Source organism: Homo sapiens, chromosome 1, assembly GCF_000001405.40.
Source record: "Homo sapiens chromosome 1, GRCh38.p14 Primary Assembly".
Lineage (NCBI taxonomy): Eukaryota > Metazoa > Chordata > Mammalia > Primates > Hominidae > Homo > Homo sapiens.
The window spans coordinates 220,064,436-220,076,445 of NC_000001.11; the positions used below are offsets into that span (position 1 = coordinate 220,064,436).

Consider the following 12,010-nt stretch of genomic DNA (forward strand, 5'->3'; position numbering starts at 1 on the left):
TGTGGGCAGAGGGAAGAAATAAGCTGTGATGCAGGTACAGCAAGAGCTGACCCTACGGGGAGCTGTTCCTATGCGGGGAGTCTGGAGCTACAATAGCCTTTCAGGGTAGTCCCAAATTGGGATGAGATGTCAGGTCTTTAAACTCCTGCAATAATCAGTCACTGGAAATGGACTGCATTGGGAAGAGGGGTGGTCCTAGGTGAGACAGCTCTCCATTGGTAGGGCAATCCCAGAAGAGTCTGATGGCATATGGGGCAACAAAGGAGCCAAAGAACAAGCACTGGGTACTCAGTATATGTTAATGTGCTTCCTCTGTTCCCATCTGAGTTTACACTACAGGAGAGGCTTGGAATCTAAGGAAGCTATTTATTTTTTTATTTTTATTTTTTTGAGACAGAGTCTTACTGTGTCGCCCAGGCTGGAGTGCAGTGGTGCGATCTCGGCTCACTGCAAACTCTGCCTCCTGGGTTCAAGCAATTCTCTTGCCTCAGCCTCCTGAGTAGCTGGGATTATAGGTGCATGCCACCATGTCCGGCTAATTTTGTATTTTTTTAGTAGAGACAGGGGTTTCACCATGTTGGTCAGGCTGGCCTCGAACTCCTGACCTTGTGATCCACCTGCCTTGGCCTCCCAAAGTGCTGGGATTACAGGCGTGAGCCACCACGCCCAACCAAGAAACCTATTTATTAATGCAGTTCTCCAGTTATTCTGGAAAAAAATAAAGGAAAGAAAACAGTGGACACGAATATTTTGGGCCCTACAAGGTCATATTGCCTCTGTAAATGAACATCTAGGCAAAAAGGATGGGATCAAGGACTCTGGTGTCTTGGTGTGGTAAATGCAATCCCATGATGCAGCTGGCTTGCCTTCTTCTGTGCTCCTGACTCTCAGGCTCTGGCATTGTCTCTCTCTTTCAAAGGCTCCACACCAATTTTGGGAGGGTAATAAAGGCGAAAATTTTCTGACAATTAAGCTTCAATGGTTAAGAAACTGGCTTCAGTATGAAGATAGACTGAGTTTCTTCATGCTATTTCCTTTAAGTGTCTACTAGTTTCAGTATATGTTGGAAGCAATAATAAAGTTTGAATTGCTAAGTCTTTTCTCTGGCTCAGGAGGGCAATATAAAGTAATACAGTAGCAAGGTTTGGATTTGAGTTTGAATCTCAGTTCTGCCATTTACCAGCTGGGTGACCACAGGAAAGTTAATTGCCTCAGTTTCCTCTTTAAAATGGGGATAATAGTTTATTTAAAGGGCTGTGGTTAGTATTCAATGAAAGGATACATTTGAAACCCTTGAACCTGGCAGCATACAGTAAACTCTTAATAAATTTTAGCTATTATGGTGATGATGATTATTATTTAAAATTGAATCTTTAGCCTGAATACCACCAACACAGCTGAGCAACTTTTCTACTTCCATTTGTGGTAATGAATTTTAAGGCATAAGCAAGAGAAGCAAGAGAAAGGATAAACAGAGTGTCCAGAAGGGAAGTGGTACAGAGAGAGGTAATGAAGAGAAGCAGAACTGGAGAAAATGAACTGGTATGTGGGATGTACAATGACCACCTGGGGTACCACAAGTTGCCTGCTTCTTTTCTACCTACTAGTGGAGCCAAAACCCTAGCTATTTTTCTCACCTTTGCTTCATTCCTGTGTTCCCTTAACTGCTGTTTTTCATTGTTCTGTGGAAAATGAATACAATTTTTCTAATCTCAGAAAGAAGTGGTGAAAATTATTAACTCCTAAGCACTTAGATTTTTTCTTGATGAAAGGTACCGTGCATTACAATGCTTTATATGAATTAAATGCCCCTTTTGAAAGTAATAGTATTAACTTAAAGTTTACATAAAAACCACAAACTTATGTCTGTATATAACAGTATCAACATTAAAATCATATTTAAAGAATTAATAGACACAAGCAATTTAACCCCAGAGACTTTCTCAATAACATATAACTCTTTTGGTAAATCCTAAGAAACACGATTCTTAATATAATTTATAATCATACAAACAGCAGGAAAAAACAAATTTATATTAGAAATAAAGCTTAACCTTGCTTTTAACTCAGAGTGGAAATTCAGAAGTAGTATTGCCCACTCTGATTACTTTGTTTCTCTAAAGTTCTATCAAGGTCACATTAATATAAATACCTTAACTACTTTATCTCAACAATTTCCTATACAATTTAATGCAATTTAATGGTAAATTCTTGCTTTGAAATTACACTAGTCCCTTGCTTCTATGGAAGGCAATTTATCTGATGTATAATAGAAAATCAAAGCAGATTAGAAGAGACAAGAAAAAAGAATGCAAGAGCATAGTACGTTCTGTTACCAACACTGACTGTAACTTAGGCGCTACACAGCGTTACCTGGAAAACAACAGGCCTAGCATCTTTTCTTAGTTGAAATGGTTCATTTCTTGAATGTGCTTCAGGAACCAATCATAAATCAGGTGTCTTGATGCCCAAGCTAATCAAGAACCCTATCAGTAATTCTCTCAACATTTATATTTGAATCATAAGGAATAAATTAAAAAATATATAATGCATTTAGTGGGTCTGTGTACATACACATGCATATATATACATACCCAGTACCAATGCCCCCAGCGATTTTGATTCAGTAGGTCTGGGGTATGGCCTGGGAATCCGTATTTTTAAAGGTTTCTCATCAGTTAATAGCATAGCTAAAAAAAAAGTTAAAAATAAATAAATAAATAAATAAAATTTAAAAAATGAAAAGTTCCCCAGATGATTGCATATGCAACCAAGCTAAAAACCACTTGCTTAGGTAACATAAAGAATCAGATAACACTATAATTATTTATCTAATGAAATTACTTTGTATCATTTATAGTAATACCTCATAGTTGTAATATGGCTGGTTAATAACTCCTGCTATGGCTTTTCCTTCATAAGCAATTCCAATAAGAACTGTTACATTGTCAAGAAGACCTGCAAAGAAGAAATAAATATCAGTTATATAACTTGCTCATATTATGACTCATCATTACTACATCAATTGCTCCAAGTTAGTTTTGCAGTTAAGGTATGGAATTTGCAATGATTCATCCGTGATCAATCCTATTTATAGTGAAAGGCATAAATGATAAGCTGGCCAGAAACAGCCATAGGATCTATGGCCACTTAATTGAATTGGCTATCATGGTCTCATTAGTACAATGTGTAAACCAACTAAATAAAGCAGCCATAATTTTGCAGCCATCATCATCAGATTCCTCTGTGCCTCTTCCACCATCATCCAACTCATCCTTACCTGCCGAATCACTTTATATTCCTGGATTACACTCTAGACTTGTATTTCAAGCCTTTAAAACAGAGTTTCTCAAAGGGAGGCCCAAGGACTATCAAGCAGCATTAGAATTAACTGATGTACTTTTTATAATACAGATCTTCTCAGGCTCCTTCCCAGAACTAGTGAATCAAAATCTGAGAGTGGGGGACAAGACCTAAATAAGCTTTCTAGGTGCTTTTATACACATTAAAGTTGTCTAGAGCTTCCTTATTTCACAATGGGTTCTACAGATGTTTTCAGCACACACACATACATACACATGTATACACACACTGTGATTCACCCATTATAGCGATGTCTCATTCAAGAACAGTAAAATAGTTTTTTTCTAGTAATTATGATAAATTTTTTAAGCCATGTCCTGAGAGCCAATACAAGAAAATTTATGTAGACCTTAATTTAATTTTATCATCATCATCATCATTATTATTCTTATTTTCTTTTTTTGAAACAGAGTCTTGCTCTGTCACCCAGGCTGGAGTGCAGTGGCATGATCTCAGCTCACTGCAACCTCTGTCTTCTGGATTCAAGCAATTCTCCTGCCTCAGCCCCACAAGTAGCTGGGATTACAGACGTGTGCCACCAGGCCCAGCTAATTTTTGTATTTTTAGGAGAGAAGGTGTTTCACCATGTTGGCCAGGCTGGTCTTGAACTTCCGACCTAATTATCTGCCCACCTCGGCCTCCCAAAGTGCTGGGATTACAGGCATAAGCCACCACGCCTGGCCTAGATCTTAAGTTTAAAAATAAAACTCTAAGCTTAAAACCTAAAACCTACCAGGTGCGGTGGCTCACACCTGTAATCCCAGCACTTTGGGAGGCCCAGGTGAGTGGATCACCTGAGGTCAGGAGTTCAAGACCAGCCTGACCAACATGGTGAAACCCCATCTCTCCTAAAAATACAAAAATTAGCTGGGCGTGGTGGCAGGTGCCTGTAATCCCCGCTACTTGGGAGGTGAGGCAGGAGAACAGCTTGAACCTGGGAGGCAGAGGTTGCAGTGAGCCGAGATGGTGCCACTGCACTCTAGCCTGGGCAATGAGCAAGACTGTCTAATAGAAAAAACAAAACCTAAAACTCTGGCTCTGAGCTTGTTCATTCCTACATTTATATGGCCAATTTTATTTTAATTTGTTGCTCTCTAATTGTTCTCATCTTAGATAAGGAGAAATATTGTACTGTGTTTCAAAACCCACCTTTAGAAGGTGAGGCTATGAAATGTGAAAGCAGTTCACAGATTAGGGGAGAGTGAATGGGGAGGGCATGGGATGGTGGTGGTGGCAGAGCAAGAGCTACACAGTTGTACTCGTTATCGTTTTTCTACCCCAATAAAGCTGGGTTCAGTATAGTCATTTTGGTAACACTGGTTTAATATGTTATTCTCATCTGGGAGACATTAGAAGTGTGGGGCTGGTGGAGTATGTGGGGGGTGGTATTTGAAGGAGATGAATTTTATTCTCCTGTCTTAACAATCAACGATGTATGATAACCATGAGCACAAATATAGCTTTAGGGGTAAACATAACACATGATAGTAGCTTTCCATACAACATACAAAATATCAAATATTTACAACTAACATCATATCCTTGTCCCACTACTGTCAAATATGAATACAAAAGAGATATCAACCTTCGGTATATTCCTTGGTTCCATCCAGAGGATCAACCCAGACCACGAGCTAAAATTAAAAAGAGAGAAGGAAAATATCTAAATCAAGCACACAAAATTCTAAAAATAGATTTAAATAGATTAAAATTACTCTTTTTTTCCTGTTTGAAATTGTATTATGGATGGCTTAAATTAATGTCATCTGTTTTGAGATAGTACAAAAAGCTTATTCTTTTGTAATCATGGAAAAAGTCCATTTGAATAAGAAAAAAGTCTGATTTAAGAATTTTCAGGCCAAGCACGGTGGCTCACACCTGTAATCCCGCACTTTGAGAGGCCGAGGCGGGTGGATCACCTGAAGTCAGGAGTTCGAGACCAGCCCGGCCAAAGTGGTGAAACCCCATCTCTACTAAAAATACAAAAATTAGCCGGGCGTGGTGGTGGGTGGCTGTAATCCCAGCTACTCAGTAGGCTGAGGCAGGAGAATCACTTGAACTCAGGAGGCGGAGGTAGCAGTGAGCAGAGATCGTGCCATTGCACTCCAGCCTGGATGACAAGAGCAAAACTCCATCTCAAAAAAAAAAAATACAAAAAAATGATTTTCAACATGAAATGCTTAACTGATAAAAGTTTGTTGTCATTTGAACACTAAGCACAATGAATATACTGATCTCTAGATCATGGTACAGGAAAAACTTGTAAAGTGGCAAAAAAATGTTTTGAACAAGCACAGTTGCTACTCATTTTTATATATAAGTGCTGATTTTAAAAAAACAAGTCTGATTATCTTAAGGACACAGTCCATACAATCCAAAGAAAAATGAATAATAAAACTGGCAGCAGATTTAAAAGGAAAATTCCTTCTGTTTAGGACATTTAATATGATTCAGGATATGCTGCCTTTAACCACTACAATGATAACATTATGTGAATTTCTGAGTGAGGGCATGTTTCTGATGGAGAACACCATGTCTCACTTTCTTTTCTTTTTTGCTTTTTTTGAGACAGAGTCTCACTCTGTCACCCAGGCTGGAGTGCAGTGGCGCGATCTCGGCTCACTGCAACCTCTGCCTCCCGGGTTCATGCCATTCTCCTGCCTCAGCCTCCCAAGTAGCTGGGACTACAGGCGCCTGCCACCACACCCAGCTAATTTTTTGTATTTTTAGTAGAGATAGGGTTTCACCGTGTTAGCGGATTCAGGCGATTCTCCTGCCTCAGCCTCCCAAGTAGCTAGGACTACAGGCGCGCACCACCATGCCCAGCTAATTTTTTTGTATTTTTAGTAGAGATGGGGTTTCACCATGTTGGCCAGAATGGTCTTGATCTCTTGACCTCGTGATCCGCCTACCTCAGCCTCCCAAAGTGCTGGGATTACAGGCTTGAGCCACCTTACCTGGCCCCAGCACCATCTCTTAAAGAGATTATTTTTTCCCCAGTTGAATGGCCCTGGCACACTTGTGAAAAATCAGCAGGCCATAGATGTATAGGTTTCACGCTGGTCATGGTGGCTCACGCCTATAATCCCAGCACTTTGGGAGGCTGAGGCGGGCAGATCACCTGAGGTCGAGAGTTCAAGACCAGCCTGACCAACATGGAGAATCCCCGTCTCTTCTAAAAATACAAAATTAGCTGGGCGTGGTGGCACATGCCTGTAATCCCAGTTACTCAGGAGGCTGAGGCAGGAGAATTGCTTGAACCTGGGAGGCGGAGGTTGGTCTCGATCTCCTGACCTCGTGATCCGCCTGCCTCGGCCTCCTAAAGTGCTGAGATTACAGGCGTGAGCCACCATGCCCAGCCCCACCATGTCTCATTTTCTTTGTTTCCTCCATACCACAGAGCAAAGTGTCTTATTCATAGTAAGTCTCCAATGAATATGCCTTAAATAATTAAAAATTGGAAAACTAAAGACATTATGGTGGCTATCTGAAGTCACAGGTTTAACTTAAGCAACTATAAAAAGCAAGCAGGATGACATTTATGTTCTTCTAAAAATATAAGGTAGCAACCTGTTTCATAGCCTTCTATCCCCAATTACCAATGAATGTTTTACTAGCAAATCTACTACATATCTACTAAATAACAAATTAGATTTTCTTCCTAAAAGTATTTATTTATTTATTTAATGAGACAGGGTCTCACTCTGCTGTCCAGGCTGTAAGGTACATGTAAAACTGCACAAGGTAGGAACAAAGTAGGACAACTTACACTTCCCAATTGCAAAACTTAATGCAAAGCAAGAAAGTGTGGTACTGGCATAAGGATAGACATATAGACCAATAGAATATAACTGAGAGTCCATAATGAAACCCATACATCTATTTCTTTTCTTTTTTCTTCTTTTTGAGACTAAGTTTTGCTCTTGTCACCCAGACTGGAGTGCAATGGCGCAATCTCGGCTCACTGTAACCTCCGCCTCCCAGGTTCAAGCAATTCTCCTGCCTCAGCCTCCTGAGTAACTGGGATTACAGGCATGTGCCACCACGCCCAGCTAATTTTGTATTTTTAGAAGAGACGGGGATTCTCCATGTTGGTCAGGCTGGTCTTGAACTCTCGACCTCAGGTGATCTGCCCGCCTCAGCCTCCCAAAGTGCTGGGATTATAGGCGTGAGCCACCATGGCCAGCGTGAAACCTATACATCTATGGCCTGCTGATTTTTCACAAGTGTGCCAGGGCCATTCAACTGGGGAAAAAATAATCTCTTTAAGAGATGGTGCTGGGGCCAGGTAAGGTGGCTCAAGCCTGTAATCCCAGCACTTTGGGAGGCTGAGGTAGGCGGATCACGAGGTCAAGAGATCAAGACCATTCTGGCCAACATGGTGAAACCCCATCTCTACTAAAAATACAAAAAAATTAGCTGGGCATGGTGGTGCGCGCCTGTAGTCCTAGCTACTTGGGAGGCTGAGGCAGGAGAATCGCCTGAACCCAGGAGGTGGAGGTTGTGGTGAGCCAAGATCGCGGCCCTGTACTCCAGCCTGGTGACAGAGCGAGACTCCGTCTCAGAAAAAAAAAAAAGAGATGGTGCTGGTTGCAGCCTCAACCTCCATGGGCTCAGGTGATCCTCCCATCTCAACCTCCCAAGTAGCTGAGACTATAAGTGTGCACCACCATACCTGGCTAATTTTTGTATTTTTTGTTGAGACAGAGTTTCACCATGTTGCCGAGTCTGGTCTCGAACTCCTAGACTCAAGCAATCCAACCACCTCGGCCTCCCAGAGTGCTGGGATTACAGGTGTGAGCCACCATGCCTGTCCCTAAAAGTATTTTAAATAACGGTTTTAGAGTGCAAAGGAAACCCATAGGATGAGAAACTGAACTCTAAATCCATATGGTTGCCTGATACTTCCATGTTGGCTCTGAAAGATATCAAGTTTCTGGTTGCCCCTATTTTATAACTACCAATTTTTCATCTTACATGCAAATATTATTTCCTTTACTATGGCAAAAAGCCCAGGTTAATAGAGAGTTGAGTATAAATATGGGTCATACATCTTCTTCTTTAATAGCACTGTACTGCGATGGGCATGGTTGCTTCAGTATTTCTTCCCACTGACTGTCTTCAATCAGCTCTTGATCCACTTCCTCAGAAGGCAGATCCTAAAGCAGAGATAACCCTAATGGTTACTGAAGCTGTTTAGTGTTTACAGAGTATGCTTTGTCTCATTAACAGAAGAAATGCAGCATCACAGTTTTCACTAGTTCTTCTGGTTTACCATTTATATTTAGAGCTTTTAAAGCAAACCTTAAAAATTTGCAAAAACAACCATATGTGGCTCATCAAAATTGACTAAATGGTTCCAGTGTCATTATACTGAAGAGAGTTTAAAAAGAAAAGAATTTTTAAGTATTATACACTCATTTAAACAAGTGTCTCTGACAGCAGATAGTTCCCTTGTATTACATGAGATGTCAGTTCCCTCACTTTCTTTTTTTATTTTTTTTTTTTGAGACGGAGTCTTGCTCTGTTGCCCAGGCTGGAGTGCAGGGACACCATCTCAGCTCACTGCAACCTCCCCATCCTGGGGTCAAGCAGTTCTCCTTCCTCAGCCTCCTGAGTAGCTGGGATTACAGGCATTCACCACCAAGCCTGGCTAATTTTTGTATTTTTAGTAGAGACAGGGTTCAGTTTCACCATGTTGGTCAGGCTGGTCTTGAACTCCTGACCTCGTGATTCGCCCGCCTCAGCCTCCCAAAGTGCTGGTATTACAGGCGTGAGCCACTGCGCCTGGCCTAATTCCCTCATTTTCAAAGTGTTATAGTCTTTGGATAAGTATGCAAATAAGCCTAATTTTAAAAACAAACAACAACGAAACCCATTTTATTCCAAAGTTCTAGATCTCTGCCCATCTTACAGTTTGTATGCTGGGTATAACAGTAACCATATCTTCTATGGTCAATAATTAAGACAACTGGCTTAGAAATAGACCAAAATGTCTTAAAATCAGATATTTTCCCCAAGTCCAAGGAATACAATAATTACTTTTGTGTTTAAAACAATAAATATAATGCTTAAAATCATAATAGTGGTATATAAATCATTAAAGTGTCAGTTATAAATCCATTTGGTAAACAGAGATTTTAAAAAAATGTCTCTGATGACGCTTACCTCTTCCCCTATAATTGTGAGTTTGGGGAATTTCCGGGCCAATGAAGAACATATGCTCATCTGTGCCAATCGGTCAGCTTTGGTCTGCAGGTCTGTTGCACAGGTCTGTAATAAAGAATGCAAATTTTAGCAGAGCTAATGAAAAATAAGTTGTCCTCTGATTCCTTGTGCATGAGTGCCTACATAATTTAGATTACACTGTCAGTTTTTAGAGTCATAGAACTTAACACCAAATGAGTTAACTGGTTTCTTGCCTTGGTTTTTCTCAAAGGATTAATAGTGGGTAAAGTTTGGAAAGGAGCTTTTAAATAATCCAGAACATTTTCTTCCCTAGTTTAGAAATTCCTTATCTCTAGACATCAACCTTTTGCTTAAATAGGTTAAGAGATAGGAAATGTATAACTTTTCAAGGCAAAGTTAATAGTTATTAGAAAAGTGTTCCGTGGATCTTTCTATAACTTCCACACTAATCCTAATCATAATAATTCAACAGGTCCTCAAGTTGATTCACAGGTACAGAGTAAGAAATCCTATTTGTTTTTTTTTTTGAGACAGAGTCTTGCTCTGTCACTGGGCTGGAGTACGGTGGCACGATCTTAGCTCACTGCAAACTCTGCCTCCTGGGTTCAAGCAATTCCCCTGCCTCAGCCTCCCAAGTAGCTGGGACTACAGGCACGTGCCACCATGCCCGGCTAATTTTTTGTATCTTAGTAGAGACAGGGATTCACCATGTTGGCCAGGATGGTCTTGATCTCCTGATCTTGTGATCCACCCGCCTTGACCTCCCAAAATGCTGAGATTACAGGCATGAGCCACCATGCCCGGCCTAAGAAATCCTGTTTCTAAAAATCTAAAAAACACGAATATGAACTGCTGTAATATTTAACATATAGCTCACCTATGGCACCCTCACTCAATCAATATGTCAGATACTCATGCTAGTGAAAGAGAAAAGTTTTGCAAGTGACAACCACAACCTCCTTTGTTAGTTTGCTTTCAGAGCCTTATGATATGTTGCAATTTATATATGCCTGGTTAAGTAGATTTACAGATTATATCATCTTAGTAGAATTTGTTTGTTTGTTTGTTTGTTTTGAGACGGAGTCTCACTCTGTCGCCTAGGCTGGAGTGCAGTGGCGCGATCTCAGCTCACTGCAACCTTTGCCTCTCTGCTTCAAGCAATTCTCCTGCCTCAGCCTCCTGAGTAGCTGGGACTGCAGGTGTCCCCCACCATGCCTGGCTAATTTTTGTATTTTTAGTAGAGATGGGGTTTCACCATATTGGCCAGGCTGGTCTCAAACTCCTGACCTCATGATCCGCCCACCTCGGGCTCCCAAAGTGCTGGGATTACAGGTGTGAGCCAGTGCACCCAGCCTCATCTTAGTAGAATTTTAACAATACTTTGCAATGAGATAAGAAGTCATTATGAAAAGCAACTGTTTTATGCCTCACTGAGATTTGCTGTATATCTCAATGCAAAGTACTATTCTGCTAGAATGTAAGCTCCACAAAAGGATTTTATTCCCTAAAGAACTGTGCCTAGCACACAGTAGGTGCTCTATAAGTATCTTTTGAATGAACCTACTCAAAAGAATTGTTGAGTTTGAAGATTAGTTAAATACCAATCAAGTTTGTAGACCACTGCGGTAGAGAAAAAAAAGACACATTGAAAGCCATTCCACTATGTGAGGAAATCAATTTTCTTTTCCTCGCTAAGATAAATATTTCCTATTCTATCAACATAGTTCCAGACATCATCATTGGAACCTTGTGTGATAAACTGATTTTGCTGTTTTTTTAAAAATAAGGTATCAACGGAAGGATATAAAGTACTAGAAATGCCTGAGCACTACAGAAGACAATGAGAATGTTACCTTTTTTCCCGACTTAGCATTACATCTCTGTTCCTTTTTAGCTACCTGGGTTTCAAAATTGTATGTCTAATATAACCTCAACATAAGATCAACTTAAAATAAGTGATGTTAAGGAAAAGGATCTGAAAGGAAATAATTCAAAATATTGGCAATGGTGGCATGATGGATGATTTTTGTTTATTTTGGCATTTTTCTCCATTTCCTACTTTTCATAATAAAAAAAACTTTATAAAAAATGAGATTAGGGGCTGGGCGCAGTGGCTCATGCCTGTAATCCGAGCACTTTGGGAGGCCGAGGCAGGTAGATCACAAGGTCAGGAGTTCGAGACCAGCCTGACCAACATGGAGAAACCCTGCCTCTACTAAAAATACAAAATTAGCCCAGGCGTGGTGGCTCATGCCTGTAATCCCAGCATTTTGGGAGGCTGAGGTGGGCGGATGCCGAGGTCAGGAGTTTGAGACCATCTGGCTAACATGGTGGAACCCTATCTCTACTAAAAATACAAAAAAATTAGCTGGGTGTGGTGGCGGGCGCCTGTAGTCCCAGCTACTCGGGAGGCTGAGGCAGGAAAACGGCATGAACCTGGGAGGCAGAGCTTGTAGTG

The 12,010-nt window shown here is 40.7% G+C and overlaps 1 protein-coding gene across 18 annotated transcripts in view; it reads right to left on the reverse strand.

Annotated features, from left to right (window-relative positions):
• Positions 1-12,010, reverse strand: part of BPNT1 (3'(2'), 5'-bisphosphate nucleotidase 1) — a 32,307-nt gene that overhangs the window by 6,954 nt on the left and 13,343 nt on the right. For 8 of the 18 annotated variants that reach the window (NM_001286149.2, XM_005273004.4, NM_006085.6 and 5 more), the window contains 4 exons: positions 9,532-9,636; positions 8,415-8,522; positions 4,949-4,997; positions 2,867-2,958 (listed from right to left, as the gene is read on the reverse strand). In NM_001286149.2, coding sequence (NP_001273078.1) covers positions 2,867-2,958; positions 4,949-4,997; positions 8,415-8,522; positions 9,532-9,591 — 309 coding nt within the window. In that variant the 5' untranslated portion in view covers positions 9,592-9,636. Of the gene's footprint in view, positions 1-1,637; positions 1,683-2,866; positions 2,959-4,948; positions 4,998-8,414; positions 8,523-9,531; positions 9,637-12,010 lie in introns of all 18 variants that reach the window. The other 10 variants (XM_011509063.3, XM_005272998.4, XM_005272999.6 and 7 more) reach the window with 3 other exon arrangements.